The sequence below is a fragment of the Homo sapiens genome, chromosome 7 (assembly GCF_000001405.40).
Source record: "Homo sapiens chromosome 7, GRCh38.p14 Primary Assembly".
Lineage (NCBI taxonomy): Eukaryota > Metazoa > Chordata > Mammalia > Primates > Hominidae > Homo > Homo sapiens.
The window spans coordinates 105,982,963-106,008,436 of NC_000007.14; the positions used below are offsets into that span (position 1 = coordinate 105,982,963).

The 25,474-nt window shown below is 45.1% G+C and overlaps 1 protein-coding gene and 1 long non-coding RNA gene across 3 annotated transcripts in view, besides 1 other annotated feature; both read left to right on the plus strand.

Moving 5' to 3' along the window:
• CDHR3 (cadherin related family member 3) overlaps positions 1-25,474 on the plus strand; it is a 73,169-nt gene that overhangs the window by 19,699 nt on the left and 27,996 nt on the right. For both annotated transcript variants that reach the window (NM_152750.5, NM_001301161.2), the window contains 5 exons: positions 1,230-1,327; positions 11,789-11,883; positions 13,288-13,392; positions 18,500-18,648; positions 21,536-21,725. In NM_152750.5, the coding sequence (NP_689963.2) occupies positions 1,230-1,327; positions 11,789-11,883; positions 13,288-13,392; positions 18,500-18,648; positions 21,536-21,725 (637 nt within the window). The remainder of the gene's footprint in view (positions 1-1,229; positions 1,328-11,788; positions 11,884-13,287; positions 13,393-18,499; positions 18,649-21,535; positions 21,726-25,474) is intronic.
• Positions 7,645-8,292: an enhancer, noted in NCBI's record as "OCT4-NANOG-H3K27ac-H3K4me1 hESC enhancer chr7:105631053-105631700 (GRCh37/hg19 assembly coordinates)". NCBI's record gives its function as "activates a minimal SCP1, AML or CMV promoter by ChIP-STARR-seq in naive H9 embryonic stem cells {active_cell/tissue: H9 hESC(naive)}" and the evidence as "EXISTENCE:reporter gene assay evidence [ECO:0000049][PMID:30033119]".
• LOC107986833 (uncharacterized) lies at positions 13,404-18,030 on the plus strand. The gene is made up of 2 exons (XR_001745316.2): positions 13,404-16,488; positions 17,461-18,030. It is a non-coding gene; the product is annotated as an uncharacterized LOC107986833 (long non-coding RNA).

Here is a 25,474-nt window from a genome sequence, read left to right on the forward strand (position 1 = left end):
ACAAAGCAAGACCCTATCTCAAAAAAAAAAAAAAAAAAAAATCTTGACAAGTGTCATGTCCTTCCCCGCTACAGTTAACCTTCCATAGCCACTTTATTAAAATTGTAACCCAACTCACACTTCCTTCCCCAATTTTTCTCATAATGTTTCTCACTAATATACACACATTTTCCTCAATTATTTTGCTATCCATATCTTCCCATGGAAACGGAAGTTGCATGAGAGTAAGGTTCTGTTTTGTGAGCTGCTGTATTCCCAGTGTGTAGATCACTGTTTGGACAGAGCGCTCAGTAGATATTTTTTTGAACGAAGCATGAGAGTGATAAAAAGTGAATGAAAGCTCAAGCTCAGATGTAAGGCATCTGGATTTTAATTTCGATTCTATCATTTACTAGCTAGGACAACTTCATAACTTCCCTGAGTCTCAGTGTTCTCATTTGAAAAGCACTAATTACGCTAAAAGAATAAATACAATACCTGCTTTATATTAATAGAACTGTTATGAAGATGAAAATAGAAAATGTATGTTAAGTCCTCAGCACGGTGCCCCCCAATAGAGTGAGTTACTTTTCATATTGTCCATCATCACTGGGAAGGAAAAAATGCCCGAGTGAGAGCTCTGTGGCCCCTTGGTCAGTGCTGGTACCGCCTGCTCCTCCCTCCTCCCCCATCACTGTGAAAAACTCTGAAACAGATGAAATCAGTTTTTGGTTCCTCCCTTGAGCCTCTGTAGCCCTCCCCTACTTATTCTATTTATCTCTGTTCCACTGTAAGATCCCTCATTTCAACGGCTCATTTCTGCGGAGTTGCCAAGTGTCCTTCAAGGGGTAACAGCACAGTTGAGGAGAGATTTGCACATTAAAATGGATTCAGCACATGGGGATCCTCACACCGGAGGTTCCTACCTGGGTTTACTTCCCAACTCTCTGCCCTATCACCTCCTTCTTCCCCCACCTCAAACAGCATCACCCTGGGGCACCTCTCAACAGAGGACATGAATGAAGACTTGGTACCAGCTTGGCCAACCCTAGCACTTTATGAATTACCCTAAATGGATCCATGCAGGAAAGTTGGCCAGTGGTCTTGCTCATGGATTTTTTTATTGCATTCTTGGTCCCACGATGCCAACACCCTTGGTTCCCTTGGTTGTGTACAGCTGCCTTGATTTTGGAATTCCCCATTTTTGCTTTAATAAGATGTTTCTTATTCCACTTTGGACACTGGTCTAGGTCTACACCTCTACATAGTAGAAAGAGCAAACCCTGGATTCATTTACCAGGTTGAGGCCTTCGATCCAGAAGACACAAGCCGAAACATTCCCCTCAGTGTAAGTGTCCTTATATGGAAGAGGTGGTGTTTGTCCGTGTTGGGTTAGACACAGGAGCCTGCTGTCCTGAGTCTTGGCGGGGTGAGTTTGGGCAGTGGCAGTCAGGGGAATGTGCGTCCACTTCCAAACACAGTGTATGCAGGATGGTTGGAATGAATAAAGGGGCTCTGGGGCCAGACACTCTGGAGTGGATTTGTGGCTCTGTGTGATCTAGGCCCATTTGTTACCTCTCTAAGTTTCAATTTCTTCATCTGTAAACAAAGAAGAGTACCAGCAGCTACTGCAGTAGAGAAGCTGTGAGTATTACATAGACAATGCATGTAAAACCACTTAGTGCAGTGCCGGGTGTATCAAAACTGCTCAATATTTTAAAAATCTAAGCTCATAAAAACCAGCTCTATTTTAAAAGCATAAAATGTACACCCCAAATCCAAGCATTTACCTACCTTTCCCAAGAGATGAAGCCAAGCTGCTTAGAGCCAAGTTTAAAAAATTAAAAAAGAGGCCAGATGCAGCGGCTCATGCCTGTAATCCCAAGATAGGAGGATGGCTTGAACCCAGGAGTTTGAGACCAGCCTAGGCAACATAGTGAGACCTCGTCTCTACAAAAAATAAAAAAATTAGCTGGGCATGATGGTGCGTGCTTGTAATTCCAGCTACTCGGGAGGCTGAGGTGGAAGGATCGCTTGAGCCTAGGAGTTTGAGACTACAGTGAGCTATGATCACGTCACTACACTCCAGCCTGGGCAATAGAGCAAGACCCTGTCTCAAAAAAAAAAAAAAAAAATTAAGGAGTCCCCAGAATTCTAGGTTGTAGAGCAGGAGATTGGGTCCTGGGAATTGCCTCATGATTCAGTCTGAGACAGCGGATGTCTCTTCTCTCCCTTCTTAATCAGTTTTCTTAATGTAGCTGCTAGTGGGGCAAGTATAACCACCAATCCTCAGGTGAAGCCTCTTAGTTGTTCCCTGGGAGTGGACGCCTCAGCTCCTGGCTCTGCCCACTAATGTGGCCTGTGCACACACTGCAGCTGAGCAGTCCAGGTTGGAGAGAAAAAAGAAAAAACAAAGCGAATCCCACCCCACTAACCTTGGAGCAGGAAACACTCCTGCAGACCCTGCCTTACAGAGAAGAGAATACTTGAAATATGACACTCGGGGAATTGGTAACACCAGGAGGCTGTTTCTACTGTTTGCTGCATGATTTGCAGCTTCAATTGGACTACTTTTTCTAACAGGAAGAAATGAGCCTTGGGAATACCAGGACGAATATATATAGTCTACAGACTCTGAAACAAAGCTGTTATAAAATTATTGGATACAACTTAAAGTAAGGGAATAGTCTGTTTTTATTAGAAGATGATCCTTCTGTGTAAAAAAAAAAAATCACCCATTCATTCATTAACTCATTCATTCATGTTAATATTTGCATGAATAAATGAATATGCAAACATTTAATGGGTGTCTATGTGTTAAGAGCAATACTAGGTGCTTGAAATGCATACTTCTTAATAACATACTTCTCATACTAGTTAGGAATGTGTTTGTCTGCAAATAACAAAACTTAACCATGGGCGTGTACATGGGAACTTTTTTTCTTCTCTAATAAGTCTAGAGGCAGGCAGGCAGTTCAGCACTGGTGCATCTGCTACCATCAGGAGCCTGGGCTCTTCCTATGCTTCTATTTTTCTAACCAGAGCTTGTTTGTTGGCACTGTCCTCTTTTTCTCACCTCATGATTGCCAGATGGCTGCTGCACCTCCCGGATTTACCTCAGAGTTCCATGCAAGAAAAAGAAAGAAGCAACCAGGGAGGGATACAGGATAGAGCAGGCAGGCCCAATCTGTCCCTTTTTTTATCAGGAAAACAAAAACTCTCTTGGAAGCCCTACCCAGAGGACTTCTGCTATATCTCACTGGCCAGAACTGTGCCCTATGGCCACTTTTGCTTACTGATGACCAGGGATTCTTAATGGAGATAAGGTCAGAAACCCAAAGTATAGCACCTCACTTACATATTTAGTTCATTTCAACATTTACAAAGAACTCTCTATGTGCCAGGCATCCTATTAGATACTTTGGAAACAGAGATGAGTAGGACACATTGACCTCAGGAAGCGTAAACTGAATGGCAGACATTCATGCGTAGGGGAGAAGGAACAGCTTTTCCTCACTTGTCAAAAGGTTTACAGCTGACACTCCTATAACAAAGAAGAGATTAACAAGAAGAGTAAATTAACAAATTTATTTAACCAAAGTTTTACATGACGTGGGAGGGCTTCAGAAATGAAGACCCAAAGACCCCCAGGGAAAACTGTATTTTTATGCTGAAGTTCAATGAAGAATGGGCAGTCGTGTAGAATCGTAACTGGACAAAAAGGGGTATGACATAAAGGTAATAAACTGGGGAAACTTAGCAAGGCCCTGTTTGTTCAGATTCTTCTTGGTCTCTGGTTGTAGGGTCTGGAATCCTCTAGAATCAGGTTCTTATGACCTACTTTTAGGGGTGGTAGGTCAGAGAATTCCTTTATGATCATGCTTCAGGGGAGAAAGTTGGGAGAAAGAGTGGGCTTCCTGCTTCTGAGAAGGTTTTCTTCAATTGCCAAGATGTCATATTTTGGGGTATCGTGTTCTGATTTCTGATACATGCATACACTAATTATAATCCAATATGACAATTACTATAACGTTTGTATAAGAACCAGTGGGGGAAAAGTGGAAAGAATTTCAGTTGTGAAGACAAACATATATTTGTTTTTAAATCTCCACTTTAAATGTATCTCTCCAAATTATGCAGACAGAATAAGGTCATGGCCCCTTTAAAAACACCTCCTAGATCAGGTAGCTACCCTTTCAGAGGAAGGAAAGCTGCCCAGGTAGGAAACAACTGCAGCAGGTGTTGCTCCCTTCAGAAAAAAAAATGTAGTGCCATCAAAAGCATTCTGAGAGCAGCTGCGGGGGCTTGTGGCTTCTGCAGTGAGTTGAGGAGTTGTTTGGGGAGGGGGTACTCAGAGTTGCAGCAGAAATTGTTAATGAAATATTTAACACCTGTGCTGGAACTAACAGCTGTACAGAAAGTCAACAGCCAGCCTGCAGGAGCGGTGGACATAATCTGGAAGAAAACTTTCTCAGATTAGGAAAAGGTAATAACAGTTTAGGACATAACATATTATGGCCTTTGTACTTAGACGTTTTATTCTGGGTGCTTGGGGGTACTAAGTAGAAGCAAATGACATCGTTAGGTTCGTAAAAGTAGAAGGGAGGTGGGTTAATTTGCTACTGACCAACCTGTGCTTCTCAACCTTGGCTGTAAATTGAAACCACTGGGGGAGCTTTAAAGAACACGGATGTCTGTGTCCCACCCTGTGAAAGTCTGATGTGATTGGACTTGGATATGGCCTGGGCATTAGGACTATAAAGCCCCCAGGGAATCTAATGTATGGCCAGGGGTGAGAACTGCTGGTTTGCCACATCATCTCCCAAAATTTCCAAGTCCCACTCCTGGAGTTTTCGAGTCTGAGTCTGCATTTCTGCATTGTCTGAGAACAATTTTGCATATTTGGCAAATATCTTAGGCAATTATTCTGGACGAAAAGGCTGGGAACACTGGTTTGTTTATTTTTGAGACAGGGTCTTACCTCTATCACCCAGGCTAGAGTACACTGGTGCAATCACAGCTCACTGCAGCCTCAACTTTCCTGGCTCAGGTGATCCTTCCACCTCAGCCTTCCAAGTAGCTGGGACTACAGGTGCCCGCCATCACACCCAGCTAATTTTTGTATTTTTTATAGATAGGGTTTCGCTATGTTGCCCAGGCTGGTCTCAAACTCTTGGGGTCAAGCCATCCACCTGCCTTGGCCTCCCAAAGTGCTAGGATTACAGACATGAGCCACCACACCCAGTGGAAACACCGGTTTATAAGTGTTTTGCAGGCTTTAGAAGTGTGTTCAGGCATTAGAACATACTTAGGCTGATTTTAAAAATGCAGATTCCTGGACATTGCCTGAGAATGCTGAGTTTGAATACAAACCTCCCCGGTGATTCTGATGTACCATGTACTTCAAGAACCACTGGACTGAACAAACAAGGACAGAGTTTAACAAAACACTAAAGCACATGCCTGAAGCGACCTAGGCTTGGTTTGTGTCTGTCATCTTAACCTGGTGGGGTCCACGAGTCACCCTGCTGGTGGCAGCAACTAGAGAATGAATAATGGATTTTTAAAAATAGCTATAGGATGCATTTTGAAACCTCAACCCCTTTAAAATGACAAATCTTACAACTCTTCTCCAGCTTAATAAAGTGAAACTGTATCACAGTTAATGAAAAACAGGTACTAATCTGGAAGCCACTTGTATTTGCTCCCTTCTTTTTAGTGAAACTTAAAAAGCATGTGCTGGTACATTGTTTGGACCAACACTGATCAATATTGGACCGGCTCTGTCCAATAAAGCTATACTGTGAGCCAGAAATGAGTCCTGCACATGTAATTTTAAATGTTCTAGTAGCCACATTGAAAGTAAAACAAAATAAATGAAATTAATTTTAATAGCTTATTTAACTCAGTATACTCAAAATATTTCAGCATAGTCAACATAAAATGATTAATGAGATATTTTGCCTTCTTTTTCCATACTCGGTGTCCAAACTCAGTGTGCATTTTACACTTACAGATCATCTCCGTGCAGACCAGCCACATTTCAATGCTCATAGTCACACGTACGTGAGGGTAGTGGCTACTGCATTGGCCAGGCACAGGCTTAGATCTAGCATTGGTTCCCCCTTCCTGGGCACCTTCTGTGTTGTGGTGGGCATGCAGGTAGAGCCGGGGCTTGGCTTGGAGGTATGCATTAATAATGGGCTCAGAACATAGAGAAGGATGATCTGCATGTGAATAATTATTTTTACTGGCATTTCTTCTTTGGGTACCCACCCCCCCACCTCTTCTCCACTTTCTGAAGGAGGCTCTTTGAGACCACCCTCCTCCCATTCAACTCCCACACTCTCTGCTTCCCCCTCTGCTTGGAAATGGCCACCGTGACTGCAGAAGAGCCTCCTTGGAGACTCCCAGGATGTTAATCAATCTCTCAGCTGGAGGCAAAATGATCTAGTACAGCAATTTCTCCATTAAGGGGCTTTCTTTTGGCCTTTCCATTGAGGAAGGGCTTTTGCATAAAATGAAATGTGCTTTGTCTTCACCAAGGCAGACAAAGGATTAAATTAAGAGAGCAATAACCTAGCTACTACCTGGACTTTTGGGAGCGCAGCAGGGGCCATCCTTCTCTTTCTGTCTTTATCTTGCTCATAGCTCTAGGAAGTGGCAGCCAGTTGTGAGTTTTGGTTTTCCTGTGTATAAAGTGGTCATCATATGCCAGACCTGGCCCTATCAAGGGTCCCAGCTGGATGGGATCTTTCAGGTCCATTGGGCAGTCCTTGATTTCTGGATGAGGGAGGGAACTGAGGGGTCAGGTAACTCCAGTGAGAACCCAGGTCTCCTGACCCACCTCCCTTCTACTCTGTTCTGGCAAGTTCTGCCACTGGCTTCCTACCCCTTGCTTTTCTGAGTGACAGCATCCCTGTCCCCACCATACACCCCCACCTGCCCCAGTCATTCAGCTCCCCTGGTGTCTGCCTGCCAACTCAGGAGTCAGGAGTCACCACCTGAAGTCTTAGCAAAAGGCATTCTTCATTCTACTCCAGGTTCTTGTTCAAAGGCTCATAAAAGGAAAAAGCAAAGGTACTGGACAATTCCCACTCCAAATATGTGGTCACTGCTGGCTGTTTGCATGTGGGGTGGGACACTCTCAAATAGATGGGGATCATTGTTATTAAGATTAGCAAAGCCTGAATCTTGCAGCACAGAACCCAGGCCAATTATGGAAAAAGAATGACAGAATGTGAGGGCATAGGATCTGCAGCTTTATCGGTGAAGGATTACATTAATAATAGCATTTTGCATTTGTCATCGTGTCTCTTCTTAAAAACATTCAAGTACTTGCCTGTAACCCACTTAGCTCATCCTCAGAACAATGAACCACGAGCAGGAGCCACGTTAAGGACTTGCAGTGGGTAGTTTTTTAACGATAGTTTTTTTTCTTCTAGGCACTCTTCCTCCTTCCTCCTCCACGTCCCACCTCTGAGCTGAGACGAGGGTGGAATAGGGGAAAACAAAGAGAGGAATTGAGGCTTTTACAAAATATTCAGCTTCCATTGAAAAATATAGGAATGTGGCAACATATTTGTAACTTGCCACAGTCCTGAGTGCTCTGGCCCTCTGGGGTGGGTTTGGGGCCATGTACTCAGTGGCTTGTGGAGCCATTGACACTCCCTGGATGTGGGCCGAATAAGGGTCTTTCCTTCTGGAAACTCAGCCTGCGGTGGCCTGGTAGTTGACTGCTCTATTCTATAAAAGACAAGAAGCTGAATTCTTGTTGTTTGTTTCTACTGAAAGCAACTGATAGCTGCAAAGTGGCACAGGTTGAATCATTGGTCGGTGACTCCTACTGCAGTGGGGAAGCAAGCCTGGAGGTGGCGTTCCCCTCGTACCCCAGGGAGCTGACATTTCTGGAAACTGGGCCAGCTCCCTCTCACCTTCCTTTCTCCCTACACCAAGGCACAATCAAGGGTGAATGGGGCAGGAAGGATGGGCTTCTTGTCTTCCAAACTAAAGCTTTTGTGTCTGAGAGCAAACCTAGCTGCAAAGGGGCGGCAAATAGAGAAACCTGGGGTGGTGGTAAAGAAATATTCCCAGCAGGAAAACCAGAGAGCTTGTCTGACAAGCATTTGTTAACTGAATTGATCTGATTACTCAGGACTTTTCTTAGCCAGGACTGGGGGCAGAGAGGGGCTGCAGTTGCTTTTCATTCTATTTAATTTCTGTTTTCCAAGAATGAATATCAAGGGAGCAGCTTTGATTAAACAAGCCTTTAAAAAGGGGGAGAAAATGCCAGGTTTTACAGAGAGCCTTGCTGAGTCGCTGGCAAATGGCCACATGACACAATATTTTTAGTCTTTGGATATTATCTCCTCTCTAAGTACAAAACTGCTATTCCCATTAACACAGCTCTTAGGTTCAGAGAAAAAAGAAATTAGCCTGGTGTTAAAAAGAAAAAAAAAATCAAGATTCCAGGAAATCATCCTCTTCATAGAAATTAAAAAGAAAATTCTCATGTGCCTAGTTCTACAGTTCTCCACATCCTTTTTATCTGCTGCTGTTTTTCTTTTTTCCTTTCTTTCCTTTCTGCATAAGTTGTTGAGACTGTGGGCCCAACTGGAGAAGATTTTAAAGCCAAGTCTAGCATTATTACATTCAAATATTTTTAAAAAATGTTTTACAGGATGGTTTTTTGTTGTTGCTTTTTTGTTTTAAGATTCTCTAAGGTGGGAATGTTGGTCTTACTAAGATGGGAAATGAACAAGAAGAAAACCCCAATATTTAACATCGAACAAATATTTATTGAGCATCTATTATGTGCTAGTCACTAAGGATATAGCAGTGAATAAAATGAAGCCCTTTCCCTCATGGATCCCTTCTAATGGGACAGCAGTAGTTAACATTTATTGAGGGCTTGCCATGTACCAGGCATTGTTCTAGCACTTTATATGATAACCCGTGGGGCATGCCCTAGTATTATTACTCTTTGCAGGCACTCACATGGCTACAAAGTGATGAACCAGGGTTCACATCCAGGTATTCTGGCTCCAGAGTCACCAAACTTAATTTATTACCCTAATTTGTGACTCTTGTATTCCAGATGAGTCTAAGAGTCCTTCTTCTCAGTTCCCGTCATATCCTGTATGTATCCCCTTTGGAGCACCTCCCCAAACCTTTGTTCCCTCGGTTGACCATAAGATTTTGGAGTGTAGGGCCTGTCTGCATTCTCTGTATCCCAAGGCCTTACAGTGCTTGGGACCAACCAGAATTGGAGATCCAGCTCCTAGAGCATTTCAAAACACATGTGGAAGGACGCCCTGATTCAGGTACATACAGTAAATCTCCTCCCCAACCCATGAGTCTCTAAAACCCTGTCATTCTATCATATGTAGCTTAAGGTGCTGATTTATGGATATGCGAGGATTCTCTGCAGGGAAGGCTCTGCTCAAAGACAGAGGACTGCTCTGTGTGTGGGCAACTTCAGGCCTAGGCAATTGCTGTCAGGCCGTGAGCTGGAGTGTTAATGGGGGGCTTGGGATTTAAACCCCACACCTGGGAGTACTGCCAAGGTGCTTGCACAATCTGTGGGGCTGGGAGAAGGGTGCTCTGTGGCATCACCCAAATATTTCCCCTTAAAAATGAGCAGAAAACACCTAAATGATCAGCAAGAAAGATTTAGTAAAATAAACCCCTGTGGTAGGATGCTGTGCCATCGTTAACTAACCAGGCTATAAAATAAGACTTAAGAATAGGGGTAAATGCTCAAGATATAAACACAATGAACAGATATTATAATTTTGATGATAACATCATTGCTATTTTTGGAGGGTATACGTTTGCATAGAAAAGAACAGAAGGCTAATCACCAAAATGAGATTTAATAGGTGGCATATTTCATTTCTTTTTTATACTTTTCTGTCTTCCTCAGTTTTGTATAAAATATGGTCAATACAACTAGAAAAACATTATTAAATAATAAACAAAAGGAAACTTTAAAAATGGCTTAAAAACGTTATATTGGCCTCAAAGGAGACCTTTAATCTATTTTCTGTGCACACTGTCTTCTTGTGCTGGGAGCTCAGCAGCGATCATAACACAGCAAATCGCTGGGTTGGAAACCTTGGCAGGTGTTTCCTTTGATTCTAGACTTCAGGGGCTGTGGCTGTGGTTGCAAAACCTCCACTGATGATCTGATCCAGAGATCTAAGGCCTTGAGGATAGAACATCCCTCATCCTAGCAGGAAATAATGAAACCTTCTAACCTTAAAGCCCTTTGGAAGAAATGAATATAAACATGTGAGTCTCTAGCGTTGCTGCGATCCTTCATATTTTACGGCACGCATTCTCATTTAATCCTCAATAACATGAAGGAGCAATTGGTCACATCAGCCCTAAGTTATAGGCAAGAAAGGCACTTGTCCCAGATCTTGTGGTGAGGACCAGAGCTTAAGCTAGACGCAGTGGCTCATGCCTGTAATCCCAGCACTCAGGGAGGCAGAGGCAGGTGGATCACTTGAGCTCAGGAGTTCAAGCCCAGCCTGGGCAACATGGTGAAACCCTGTCTCTACAAAAAAAAATATAAAAAAAATTAGCCAGGTGTGGTGGCACACACCTGTAGTCCCAGCCACTCGTGAGGATGAGATGCAAGTATCACTTGAGCCCGGGAGGCGGAGGCTGCAGTGAGCCATGATAGCACCACTGCACTGCAGCCTGGGTGACAGAGCCAGACTCTGTCTCACAAAAAAAAAAAAAAAAAAAAAAAAAAAAGAAGAAGAAGAACTTGGACCTTGAACCAAGCTCTTCTGATCCAGGCTCTTCCCCTGTTTTCTTGACTCCATTGTGGAAGAAACAGAGCAATCCTGATGGGCTGCCATGGGTGGCACGGGCATGGTCTTCCTATGGGCTCACCCTCAGCGGGCTGTACACATAAACCTGTCTCTTCCTATCAGATCAAGGAGATCTGGGCAGGGTGTCATCAAGAGAGCTGGGCTGGAAGCCTATGATGACAAAGACTCTCAACTACCCAAAGATGTAGGAAGGACTTTCCTTATGCCACGTGCCAGGGATTAGATTTCAAAACAGCTCTTCTGAATCCCTAAACTGGCTTCCAACCTGGACTGTAAGCCCTGTTATGTTTCATTCTCAGCTCACCCTTGTCCCTTGTTCCTTCAGGCATTTCAATAACTGATGCTCATGCATTTTGCGCCCTGCTATATTGTAAGTTGTTTTTAAGGGTAGTGACCAGATCCTACTCACTTTGGTATAGTCCTATTACCTAGTGGGTAGTAGCTGTATTAAATAGGTAATAGGTATAGTCCTATTACCTAGTGGGTAGTAGCTGTATTAAATAGGTATAGTAGCTGTATTAAATAGGTAATAGGTATAGTCCTATTACCTAGTGGGTAGTAGCTGTATTAAATACACTGTATTTAAATACAGTGTTGGTTAAAGCCAAGGCATAGAATCAAAGCCAGAAGTTGTCCAGGAGTGAGAACACAGTGATAGGGATAAGAAGATTGGACTCAGAAGCAGAGCCTGCCTTGACAGGGGCCTTTTATATGCTTTCTGTAGTTAGAACAAGATCCACTCACCAGCTTTTCAGGGTGTGGTCAACCAGGGCTCAGACCAACAGAGCCAGAAGTTTCTGTATTCAAGAGCGATTAAATTGGATAACTGCTCTTTGAACCGCATCCTGATGCATCGAGAACGTTCCATGGGCTAAGAACATAAAATAGGAAATGAGCACACACATCTTCTGGGGAAGGGTGGGCAGGTGGGCTGATTTCATCAATTTTTTTCCCTTGTTTTTTAGTATTTCCTGATTTCTCCCCCAAAGAGCTTCAGAATGTCTGCTAATGGCACCCTCTTCTCCACAACAGAATTGGACTTTGAAGCAGGACACAGAAGGTAGTCTTGCTATTGACCTTGCATGAAGTACTGTTTATCTGAGGGTCAAGGAAAACATGAGGGATAGGTCACAGTGCAACCTGAGGGCAGCTGGGGGGAGCCCCTTGAGCAGTCTACAGCGTCATTGTAAGTTCAGATGGTAGTGAACCCCAGAGAGGGATGGGGAATAAGGCAATTGTCTGGGAGGCCTCTTTTGGTCTCCAGAGAACAAGAATGACAGTATGGGAGAGGGTGCCCAAGTACAAGAGTGTCATGAGCAGTGCAAGGTCAGACATAACCAGGTCCATGCACATTTGTGTCTTTCCATAAGGTCAGGTTTTCACTGATGCTACTTCAATCCTAAAAGCCATGAGCTACATGGAATTCCCAAGGAGGCAACTCTCCTTAGACCTCTTGCTAACTCAGTAGTCAGAGCACATAGGCTCAAGCCACTCCACAGGTCAGTCAGTATTGTAAACCATACATAGTATACTTCATCAGCACATAAATGTTATAAATTAAACATTCCACATCAAACAAAGTAACATTTAACATCATGAGAAAAGAGGTTAATAAACCAGACCAAGGACGGTGATGTGGACACGGAGAGTGTCTTGGCCACATCCAGATGGTCATCAATGTCTTGCAAGGAAGAGTCTTTGATTTGGGCAGATGCTGGGTGCTGATTACAAGTGACAGCAAGACAGGGTCTGTCAAGATGGCCTTGTCGAGCCGGTGAAGTCCTGCTCGTTTTATGGCCCTTGAGTCCACTGGCGAAGACTGGTAGTAAAGGATTATGCCCTTATCTGGTTGAGTGTTGTCTTTATTGATTAGGTGACCATCTGGACCCTGTTGGCTTGATGCCTTTTGAAATGGAAGATGGCATTTTTTTTCTAAGATGTAGTCATTAATGTCAAGGGTGATCTATACAAGATTTCTCAGACCCCATCTTGTTTGGGAAAGGCAGCCATCCAAGCAAAGGGGCTGATGAGGGGAAGTGGATGACAACACATTGGCCTTGGGGTGAAGCAGGTGAGGCTCCTGGCTCTGCGTCGGGTGTGGGAACAAGAGCTAGCCATGTGAGCCATGGGGGCCTCACTCCCTCCAGTGGGAGTGATATGCACTTTCCAGAGATCTTGTGAAAAACACCGGGATAGATGTGCAGCATGGCGCTTGAGCAGATGCTGGCCTGGTGGGACAATGGTGGTGAATAGCCCCTGCAGAATGAGAAGCAGCCAGCGGGTTTGGAGACGGGGGGAGAAAGGTCACCCTGCAGGCCCTGAGACTGTGGGGGCATTACGGAGAGGCTCACCACCAAAGGGGCAGGGTCTGCTCTCACTCCTCCCACCCCATGATTTTCCCCATCCTATTTTGAAGTAGTGCCAGCAAAGCTTGATTCTCTCACGTGGAATGTTTCCCTGGCAGTTTCCATCTCATCGTGGAGGTGAGGGACAGTGGAGGCCTCAAAGCCTCCACAGAGCTCCAGGTGAACATCGTGAACCTCAACGACGAAGTCCCTCGCTTTACCAGGTAGGCCTGAGGGCATGCAGGACTCCCTGGGCCGCAGGTGCGTCCTTCTTAGGCGGCCTCGTCTCCTCCGGCACATTTAATACAAGGCAGAGGGATGCCCTTTGCTGTGGCCTGCAGGAAAGATTAGAGGCACGTGCTCTTCAGAGTCTTTATCTGGGCCTCTGGACTGCTGTTTTCCACCTTTGCTGCCTCTGCCTCCTGTACCCACACATTCACATGCACCATGGGATTTTGGATATGGTGGGGAGAAGGGGTGGACACATGCCCCGGGGTGTGGCCTGCACTGTGCACATGCAGAGGGTGCTTTTAAAATAAAGTGCCGCGCTTTAGTAACAGCAGAGTCCCAGAGCATGCATCATCACTCACGACTCCCTAACGCCCGCTCCTAGTATGTTATCCTCACACCGAGGAGAGGGCTATTTTCACGGTGCCTGCCTGTTACTGGCTGCTCTAAAGTTTCTTCCTGCCATGGTGGATCCAGAAAAGTGATCCGGCTGTGTCTGGCAGCTCCTCTGTCCAGCAGAGGTGGGAAGGGTAAATGCATCGGGTGGAGGGTAGTTTGTGGAAATGTGCCTGGCACTATCCCAGGCACAAAATGAAGATCTGAGCCTATTGTAGATGGGGATTTAGGAGGAAAAGATGGGATTCTGAGCTAGTAGATGGCACTGCAAACAGCCTGGCATACTGCTTACAGAGCCTCTGCCTGCCCCAGTCCCTGAGATGGGCATAGAAGCCAGCCACAAGGAAAGGCAAAATCACCTTTAACAGCATGAACGGTTATGAATAGATTCAGCACAGGATACTCCACCAATAAAAGACCATTAGGCCTCAGAGCTGGGTAGAGGACTTGCAAAACTACTCCAAGATTGCGAGGTATTTAAGGCAACCTCACTCCCAGACTAACCTGGTGCCACTTGGCAAACACCACAATTGCACAACTTCTGGATGTTAACATAGTCTACAGTCCAGTTGCAGGTGTCAAAGAATGCGTCTGCTCCAGCCCTGCAGCCTGGGCTGCAGTTCCTTTTTCAATCCTTGACCCTCAATTTATCTGCTGCTATTAAATGGCTATGTAATGCTTTCCATCAGCACCTGATGCTGGGTTAGGTTCAGAAGGAGAGCTCAGTGCCTTTGGGCTGACAGGTGGCTCCTGGAGCAAAGTCTAGGCAGCTTATTAACAGTTATGACATCCCAGCCCGGACTCAGGCTCAGGTATGGGCCCACACAGCTCTGCAGATTCTTCAAGAACCCCCAGAGGAAGGTGATGGCTGCAGGGCTGGAGCAGATGCATTCTTTGACACCTTCCCCACAAGTCCCATCTGGGAGGAGGGGAGGAAGGTTAATGGGGTTTCAAAGGGGAAAATAATAAGTCCTCCCCAGGGGCAGAGCTTGTAAACCATCTGGTTTGGATCACATCTTCCAAAATACAGAAACTGACTTTTAGCAGAGAGAGAGAGAGAACATGACCCTCGCTGGCGTGGGATGCACCCAGAGGTCAGCCTGGAACTCTCTGGTTCTCATTTTAGGTTTGAAAGAGGAACATATTGGGCTCCATCCCCAAGCAGATAGCATGATCTGTGTGACGGTCTTTTTTTTTTTAAGTCAGTCGACTTTATTTCAAACAGCATTCCTTGGATGAAGGTGAGGGTGTGTCTGCCAGAGCCTCACTCCAAAAGAAGGAGTGGGGGCAGGGTGGCTGCCCAGGCTTGGCTCAGGCAGTCAATGAGGGTCAACCTCATCCCTCAGCCATCAAAATTTGAAAGGATTTGCTTGGTTTCAAACTACGTGCTGACTTGGAGGGCTTTCATGGTTCCCTTGAGCTTCTCAGCCTCCTTTTCCTGTAAATCAGTGCTAGCACTAACGATAACTTCTTTAATTCAGGATTAACAAAATTAAATCTTCAAACAGACTCAAGTGTACTGAGTTTGAGCCTGAAATACAAATGTAAAATGTACAGACAGCCTTTCTATCTTTACTATTTGTTAAACGCATGCAATTAACACAACCAAAGCAAGTCCTATGTCTGTTCTTGAAAATGTCTCCCCATTTTACCCCTGGTGGTGACAAATGTCAGAAAGCTTTATAGATTCAGGATGCATGCTCCAGGAGTCTGCCATTATTGAAGTTGAACATTTTATTATAAAAGCACCTGACACACCGGGTGCAGTGGCTCACGCCTGTAATCCCAGCACTTTGGGAGGCTGAGGCGGGTGGATCACCTGAGGTCAGGAGTTCGAGACCAGCCTGACCAACATGGTGAAACCCTGTTTCTACTAAAAGTACCAAAGTAGCCAGGCATGGTGGCTGTAATCCCAGCTACTCAGGAAGCTGAGACAGGAGAATCGCTTGAACCCAGGAGGCAGAGGTTGCAGTGAGCTGAGATCATGCCATTGCACTCCAACCTGGGCAACAAGACCAGAACTCCATCTCAAACAAAAAAGAAAAAGAAAAAGAAAAAAAAAAAGCACCTGACATATTTACTGTTTCCCTGTGCACAGAGCTTGCTGTGTGTGCACAGCACTTTATTTTAGAGTTGGGTAGGTAGGTCTTTCTCCCCTCCTGCCCATTTCTTTTGTATTTACTCAGTCCTTTTCCACCTGGTGCTTGGCAGTGTCATGCACACCTTGGGCACTTACTGAATACTCATTCATAGTGGTGAAGCCATCCATGGCTTCCCAGCATTCACACCCTTCCCTGTGAGTGTGGCCACTGGCCCAAGCTCTGGGGGTCAGGTGTTACGGGGAAGAAGGATGTGGGAATACAAGTGGTAGCAGAGCTTTACTGTGTCAGGGTAGCTGCATGGCACCTAGCTTCACTGTGCTTTGAATAGCTCTTAACTGTGGTCTCCGTTGAATGATATTTTATACATACCTGTATCTTGGATTCAAAAATCAAATAGACTAAAGATTTTATCTCCTGCCAGGCTTAATGTCAGGTTAGCCAAGGAGAGAATATTTCGCCTGAGGAGCTGCATCGTGGCCAGTAGCCTGACCAGTTCCCTTCGTGGGGATCTGGGTTCCTGGAGCACCCAGCATGGACTAGATGAGCCTTCAGAGCAGAGTTTCTTAAACAGCGGAACTGCTGGCATTGAGCCAGGTACCCCATTGTAGAGGGGTTGTCCTGTGCATTGGAGGATGTGTAGCAGCATCTCCAGCTTCTATCCCCTAAACATCAATAGTAGCTGTCTCCCCTAGTTGTGAAAATCAAACATGTTCAGACACCACCCCCGGCCCCCCAGCTGAGAACCACTGCCTGAGAAGGAAGGAGGGATGATGGGAAGAAGGGGCTTTTCCTCCCCAGGTGTCCTCTCTCTGTCCCGTGGGGAGGCTGGGAGCCTGTGGTTGCCACCTCTGGCATCACCTTATAATCATCCTTCCGAAACATTAAAGTCTATGCAGATTAGCTGGGCATCTTGTGAAAAAGCCAGTCCTGGTTCAGAGGGCTGGGGTGGGTGGGCCTGAGGTCTGCATGTCTAACCAGCTCCCTGGTGATGCTTTTACTAGGAGCATGCTTGGAGCAGTAGCTCATGGCTGTGTGATTAGCACAGGCATCTTAGTGGCCTCTTTTTTGGAAGTTAACAGAACCCGCTCATGATGACCAAAGCAAAAACATACTACATTAGCAACAGGGGCATTCACAGAAGGGACCGAGGGGCTTGGCCCAGCCTGGGGGCGCTGGGGCCATATCCTTCCCTCCTGGCTCTGGTTTTGGCTCCTGCCATCCCACCTCTTTGGCCCCATTCCACTTTGTCTATTCCTAGATCCATCAGGGGCAGCATTACAGATTGCCTGAGAAGGGGATATGTCAAGTAAGGGAAAGGATGAATGGGCCTGTTTCAGTGGGACACTGGGGTGACCTTAGGCTGAACATGATTACTCTCCTCCAGCAATGGAGTATACCCACAGAAGTCCACCTTGTGAATAGATGTGGGGGGACCCTGGATCCAGGGAGGAGCTCTGGTAGGGAGGGTTGGGGTGAAGCCCTGGTTCCTGCCTTTCTCTGACTGCCCCTGACTTAGCTATTGATTCCCTGCCATTTCTCCTTCCTCTGGCCCTACCTACCTTATAGGGATGGTGAGATAGCACAGCAGAAATATTCTGAGCTCACGAAAGGAATGCCGTCACTTAGATCTGAGAGGTACTATACCCCTTTCAAAGAAGATCCCACATGGGAAGACCTCCACTTGGGTAACTGGGAAATTAGAGGTGACTACTTGCCCCACTGAAATGATTTTCCCTCAGCAAAAGGACTTCCTGCAGAGTTGTTTTAAACAATAAGCCTCCCTTAGAGCATTCAAAATTACTCAATGTATAGTTAGTTAAAACTCCCAACCTATCAGTCTCATTACTGGCCTGTTCCAAAGGCATTGGTGAAGGTCTGAGGAAGATGGGTAAGTTGGTGATTTGGGGTTATCTTGCAAGAAGGACAGTGATGGGGCCTGGTCTTCTTCAGGGGACCTATTTCTCAGTTCAGAGAGCTGACCTCATGATTAATGCAACTTGGAAAGGTGCACGAGTTCTGTGCATAAATTCTATATCCTCAGGCAAAAAAAAAAAAAAAAAAGACAAGGAAGAAAAAAAAGTGAGCAAACACATGAGAATAGAGAAGCTTTACAATTTTTCTGGCTTCTGGTGGCAGCCATGGGATGGGAGTCAGGAACAAGGGAGGGAACCCGCAGCTCTGGACATGACCCTGGCATGTAACTCTGGACACAGTGATATCTAAAAGAATCCAGGGACATCTGCACAAAACGTGGGAAAATGAGAAAAGATAGCTGGATAGGCCACCTGTCCTTATTTCAAAAGACGTTAATGCCAAGGCTGATCTGAAATGACATCAGGCAGAGGTGCATAGAGTCAGAGACTGTGGCCCATGTAAATTGTTGCAATGACAGCGTGGTACTTTCTTCACATCCACAGGGATGTGGTCTTTGGGGATACAAAAGCCAGCCACCCCTCCTTTCCACTGCTGTGCTCTCCCTCTGAGCATGTTGATGCAACTTGAACAGCTCTGCACTATATTTAGCACTAACCAAAATACCAATCGCCTAGATGCTACCTTCCCGTGCCCCTGGAAATTAGCTGTGTCTGCTGTATCTCTGTTCCAGCCCGACACGAGTGTACACAGTCCTGGAGGAACTGAGTCCAGGAACCATCGTGGCCAATATCACAGCGGAGGATCCTGATGATGAAGGTTTTCCCAGCCACCTCCTCTACAGCATTACCACTGTTAGCAAATATTTCATGATAAATCAGTGTAAGCCACTCACTTCCATCCTTAAGTGCATCCTCTAATTCAGCCATGTGGATTGTCTTACAATGTAGTTGTCCCTCGTTACCCATGAGAATTGGTTCTAGGATGCACCGTGGATACCAAAATCCACGTATGCTCAAGTTTCTTCTATAAAATGGCTTAGTATTTGCATATAACCTATGCATGTCCCCCTGTATATTTTATATTATCTCTAGATTCCTTATAATACCAAATGCTATGTAGATAGTTGTTGTATTGTTTAGGGAATAATGACAAGAAAAAAATGTCTGTATATGTTTAGTGCAAATGCAGCCAGCCATTTATTTTTCCTGAATATTTTAAATCCTCAGTTGGTTGAATCTGAGGATGCAGAACCCATGGATACAAAGGGCCAATTGTATTTTTCTTATCTTCTGGTATTGGGCATGTCTTTCTGTCTGGGGTCATCATTGGTTACCAAGGTAATAGATGTATTATAAGCAGCTGGCATGGGGGTTGGGCAAACTAAACAGGGTTGACAGCTATGTCACCCTTCACCTTTGTGGGGGATGGGTGGGGGGCAGTGAAGAGATTTATTTTCTTACCCATTGTTAGGCTTGTGACTGAGACCTCTATAAAAAAAGACAGATTAACAAGAGAAAAGCATACGAATTCATTTAATGTTAAGTTTATGTCACACCAGAGCCTTCAGAAATGAAGACTCAAAGAAACAGGGAAACCCATGTGTTTTTATGCTCAGTTTGATGAAGTGAGTAATTATGGAGAAGTATGATTGGAGGACAAAAGGGTGTGATAAACCTGGGAGAATTTAGCAAGGTCCGTTTGTTCAGATTCTTCCTGGCATCTCTGTCTTCCAGAATAGGATGTTCCTTTCCTCCAGTTATAGGTAGGTTACCTCTGGAATGAAGCTCTTATGACTGCTTCAAAACTGCTGTTTTCTCAAATGCCAAGGTGCCATATTTTGGGGTAATATGTCCTGAATCCCATCACCTTTTTCTCAAAGGCAGGTGTGTAAGGATGGATGGGTTACTTATCCTGAGGGTTCCCTGAAGTCTTCTGAAGAGAGGGGCTATATTAGCACTGTCCAATAGGAATAGAATGAAGCCACTTACGTAATTTCAAAGTCTCTAGTAGTCACATTTTTAACAAGTAAAAAGAAATAGGAGAAATTAATTTTAATTAGGTATTTTTAACATGTATAAAATATTGTTTCAACATGTTATCAATACTTAAAGGTCATTCATGGCCAGGCATGGTGGCTCATGTCTGTAATCCCAACACTTTGGGAGGCTGAGGCCAAAGGATTGCTTGAGCCCAGGAGTTTGAGACCAGCCTGGGCAACGTAGTGAAACCCTGTCTCTACTAAAAGTTTAAAAATTAGCTGAGTGTCATGATACACACCTATAGTCCCAGCTACTCAGGAAGTTGAGGCAGGAGGATCCCTTGAGCCCAGGAGTTTAAGGCTGCAGTGAGCTATGATCATTCCACTCTACTCCAGCCTGGGTGACAGAGCAAAAACCTGTCTCAAAAAAAAAAAAAAAAAAAGTGATTCATGAGATATTTCATATCATTTTCTTTGGTACCGAGTCTTGGAAGACTGTTGTATGTTTTGTACTTACAGTACATCTCAATTTGGATTAGCACCATTTAATTGCTCAATAACTCTCATGTGACTAGTGGTAACTGTATGGGACAGTGTCATCTTGGTCAATCTGCCAGACTGATGGGAGTTATTTTTCCATCTGAATATCTCTGAAGGGGACTTCTCTGCTCTTCTATAACCATCTTTTTCTGGGGCCTTAGTACACACCAGGCATTATGCTGAGTGATTATTCACATACATCTCATCTCAAGTACTCAAGATAGCAACTCAATGAACTATCATCATTCACATTTTACAGATGAGGAAACTGAGGCCTAGGGAGAGCCTCAGGCAGGTCAAACAATTTGTTCAAGGTCTTACAGCTTGTAGGTCATGAAGCAGAAGTACCAACCTAAGCTGCCTGATTCCTCGGGCCTGTCCTCTTAACCACTACCGGACTGTCCCACCTTTATAAGTCCTGATTGCATCACCAAAAAGGACGTCCAGCCTTAGACAATGCCAGAAAAACAATGTCCTGTTGGCTCCTTAGGCTTTCGGGCAAAAGACACCTATTCCCAGGAGAGCCAGGCAAAGGCAATAATTGTGCACTGCCTCTGAAAACATCCTGATGCCCTGTCAGCTGATAGTGTAGGGACAACCATGGTTGAGAATTCTGTTCACTCTAGTGTTGCGAAATTCAACTTTTAACAAGTAGAGTGAGGTTTTTGGTTTTTTTCTGAGCATATTTATTAAGATTTTTTGGTTGCAGGTAACAGAAACTAAGGTAAACCAACCTAACCAAAAAAAAAAAAAAAAAAAAAAGAAAGAAAAAAAAGGCAGGCACATCTATCAACAGGATTCTGTGCATCTCTTAAGAAAATGTAAAAAGATGGGGACATAGAAAGGATGTGACCCAGTGCTGCTCCAGGGACCTTGGTTCTGTAGCTCCACTATTAGCCTGACTGATCCTCCAATGTGTGCCTTTCAGTTATAAATTCTCCAATAAGAGAGCCCTCTGGGTCAAGCTGGAGTCAGTTATTCACCAGTCCAGTCCACTCTGGGCAAGGGCCGCCACCAGGGACCCAACTCTGAAGTACAGTGTGAAAAATCCTAGAAGGGTCAGGCCAGATACCCCAATGAATGTCTAACACAGGAACTTAATGGGTTTTCAAAAATGTATTTGTATAGAGATTATGCTCTGCATAAGCTCTTCCTCATGTTCGAATGGTCTTTTCCAGTTTTCTCCAAGTTTCTGTATTCCTTTTCATTTCTCTTCAAAGGGTCACGTTCTAACCTTTGCTTTCTCAGTGACTGGTACAATCCAAGTGGCCCAAAGGATAGACCGAGATGCAGGTGAATTGAGACAAAATCCCACCATTTCCCTGGAAGTTCTAGTGAAGGACAGACCATATGGGGGTCAGGAGAATCGCATCCAGATAACCTTCATTGTGGAAGACGTCAACGACAATCCTGCCACATGCCAAAAGTTCACCTTCAGGTATGCACACTTTGAAAGTTGGGCTGGACATTCTATCTCTTTGGTGGCCCTCTGCCCTTCTGCTTCTCTGGTATATTCTCAGGAGAATTATAAGCATTTGGAGAAACAGCTCAGTAGAATAAATCGATGTGAACTGTTCACTGTTGTCCACAGGTTTCCTTGTTATCGTCCTTTTTTCTTCCCTCTCTTTCATTTTCCTTCTTCATTATCTCCCTTGTTCACTTTCTTACTCTTAAGAATTATTTTTTATTTTGCTCCCTTCTATATCTGGCTCATCTCTGTTGGTGAAAAGGACCACAGGGACTTGTTAGGCCCTCCCTGGACTGTGCCTGTTCTTTGTTTATTGCCACGGGTGGCAAGATGGGGCTGTTAGTTAGCAGTTATAATAGACGTTTGAGACTTAGGATCAGTGAATAGGAACTCCCAGGAAAACATACCACCAGCCAGATGAATAAATCAAACCAAGTACTTAGGTAAAACCAAACAAAGCATCGAATTCACCTTACACAACTTAATTGAATATAAACAAAAGACATCCGAAAGGGAAAAAATGCAGATACAAGTGGGATACAAGTGATCTTGTATATTTTGACTCATTCTTTGTCCTACAATCTATTTGCTATTATTTTACAATAAAGTCCCTTGTGATTCTGGGTTAATAAGCTTTTTGAAAACAATATTGTCTTTCTACTATTTTGTCAAAAAGCCACATGATTAGTACTTGCCCATATTAGCCTCGTCTCTGAGGTTTTGTTCCAGCCAGTCTCTGGTCTCCTGAGAGGCTGAAGAGGGCTCTTTGGGAGGAATTGGGGTTGTGGGGAGCAACTCCACAGCAGCCCTTGCTAAGAGACAGCCCTGTATCTGGAGCAAGGCTGAAGATCAGGGTGAGTCTCAGCTCCAGATGTCCCCATGGGGAGAGTCTCCTGAGTTTATCTTTGAGTGGTTTTGTAAGTTTTCTCCAGGCGACTCTGGACATAGACCCAATACATGCAGAGGACAAAGGACCCTAGACCAGGATTGCCTAGGAGAAGCAGGAGAAATAGAAATTCCTTTATTATACTCATGAATGTCTCCCTGTTGTCCCAAATGGCATGCCCAGTATAATGTTAAAGGATCCATGTGACCTCGAGTCTGATATCAAAACGGTTAAACTCTGTTCTGGATGCACCCCTGACTTATCCCTTTAGATCCAGTCTCCACCCTGCTCTGTGCTCCAAGACGCTGACCTGGATGGATACCGTATTAGACTGTTTTCATGCTGCTGATAAAGATATACCTGTGACTGGGCGATTTACAAAAGAAAGAGGTTTAATTGGACTTACAGTTCCACATGGCTGGGGAAGCCTCACAATCATGGCAGAAGGCAAGGAGGAGCAAGTCACATCTTACATGGATGGCAGCAGGCAAAGAGATAGAGCTTGTGTAGGGAAACTCCTCCTTATAAAGCCATCAGATCTCATGAGACTTAGTCACTATCACGAGAACAACTCAGGAAAGACTTGCCCCCATGATTCCATTTCCTCCTACCAGGTCCCTCCCACAACATGTAGGAATTCAAGGTGAGACTTTGGTGGAGACACAGCCAAACCATATCATCCTGCCCCAGCCCTTCCCAAATCTCACGTTCTCACATTTCAAAACCAATCATGCCTTCCCAACAGTCATCCAAAGTCTTTACTCATTTCAGCATTAACTCAAAAGTCCACAGTCCAAAGTCTCATCCGAGACAAGGCAAATCCCTTCTGCCTATGAGCCTGTAAAATCAAAAGCAAGTTAGTTACTTCCTAGATACAATGGGGGTATAGGCATTGGGTAAATACAGCTGTTCCAATGGGATAAATTGGCCAAAATGCAGGTGCTACAGGCCCCATGCAAGTCTGAAATCCAGCAGGGTAGTCAAATCTTAAAACTCCAAAATGATCTCCTTTGACTCCATGTCTCACATCCAGGTCACGCTCATGCAAGAGGTGGGTTCCCATGATCTTGGGCAGCTCCATTCCTGTGGCTTTGCAGGGTACAGCTTCCATCCTGGATGCTTTCATGGGCTGGCATTGAGTGCCTGTGGCTTTTCCAGGTGCATGGTGCTAGCTGTCAGTGGATTTACCATTCTGGGGTCTGGAGGACAGTGGCCCTCTTCTCACAGCTCCACTAGGCAGTGCCCTACTAGGGACTTCGTGTGGGGACTCCAATCTCACATTTCCCTTCTGCACTGCCCTAGCAGAGGTTCTCCATGAGGGGCCACCCCTGCAACAAACTTCTGCCTGGGCATCCAGGCATTTCCATACATCCTCTCAAATCTAAGCGGAGGTTCTCAAACCTCAATTCTTGACTTCTGTGCAGCCGCAGGCTCAACACCACATGAAAGCTGGCAAGGCTTGGGGCTTCCACTCTCTGAAGCAATAGCCCGAGCTGTACCTTGGCCCCTTTTAATCAAAGCTAGAGCGGCTGGGATGCAGGGCACCAAGTCCCTAGGCTGCACACAAGAGAGGGACCCAGGGCCTGGCCCATGAAGCCGTTTCTTCCTCCTAAACCTCTGGGCCTGTGATGGGAGTGGCTTCCACAGAGGTCTCTGACATGCCCTGGTGACATTTACCCCATTGTCTTGGTGATTAACATTCAGCTCCTTGTTACTTATGTAAATTTCTGCAGCTGTCTTGAATTTCTCCTCAGAAAATGGGATTTTCCTTTCTATCGCATTGTCAGGCTGCAAAATTTCCAAACTTTTAAGCTCTGCTTCCCTCATAAAACTGAATGCCTTTAACAGCACCCAAGTCACATCTTGAATGCTTTGCTGCTTAAAAATTTCTTCTACCAGATACTCTAAATCATCTCTCTCAAGTTCAAAGTTCTACAAGTCTCTAGGGCAGGGGCAAAATGCCACCAGTCTCTTTGCTAAAACATAACAAGAGTCACCTTTGCTCCAGTTCCCAACAAGTTCCTCATCTCCATCTGAGACCACCTCAGCCTGGATTTAATTGTCCATATCATGAACAGCATTTTGGTCAAAGCCATTCAACAAGTCTCTAGGGAGTTCCAAACTTTCCCACATTTTCCTGTCTTCTTTTAAGCCCACCAAACTGTTCCAACCCCTGCCTGTTACCCAGTTCCAAAGTTGCTTCCACATTTTCAGGTATCTACAGCAGAGCCCCACTCTATTGGTACCAATTTACTGGATTAGTCCATTTTCATACTGCTAATAAAGACATACCCGAGACTGGGCAATTTACAACAGAAAGAGGTTTAATGGGCTTACAGTTCCACGTGGCTGGGGAAGCCTCACAATCATGGCAGAAGGCAAGGAGGAGCAAGTCATGTCTTACGTGGATGGCAGCAGGCAAAGAGAGAGCTTGTGCAGGGAAACTCCCCCTTATAAAGCCATCAGATCTCATGGGACTTAGTCACTATCACAAGAACAGCACAGGAAAGACTTGCCACCATGATTCAATTTCCTCCTACTGGGTCCCTCTCACAACATGTGGGAGTTCAAGATGAGATTTGGGTGGGGACACAGCCAAACCATATCAGATACCAACCAACTCCCTTGCCTTCCAGCTTCTAGTTGGCCAATGGGGAGTCCTGGAAAGAGAAGGAGAGGAGGGTCAGGCTCTCTCTTTGTGAGCTGGGTGCATCCCTTCCCTGCCTGAAGATCTCCATTCCCAAAAGCAGCTCTCTGTCGCAGGACCTGCTTCCTCCACTGGCTTCCCTGGGCCTAGTGGTGGTAAGGGTGCTTCACTCTCACGAGCCCTGAG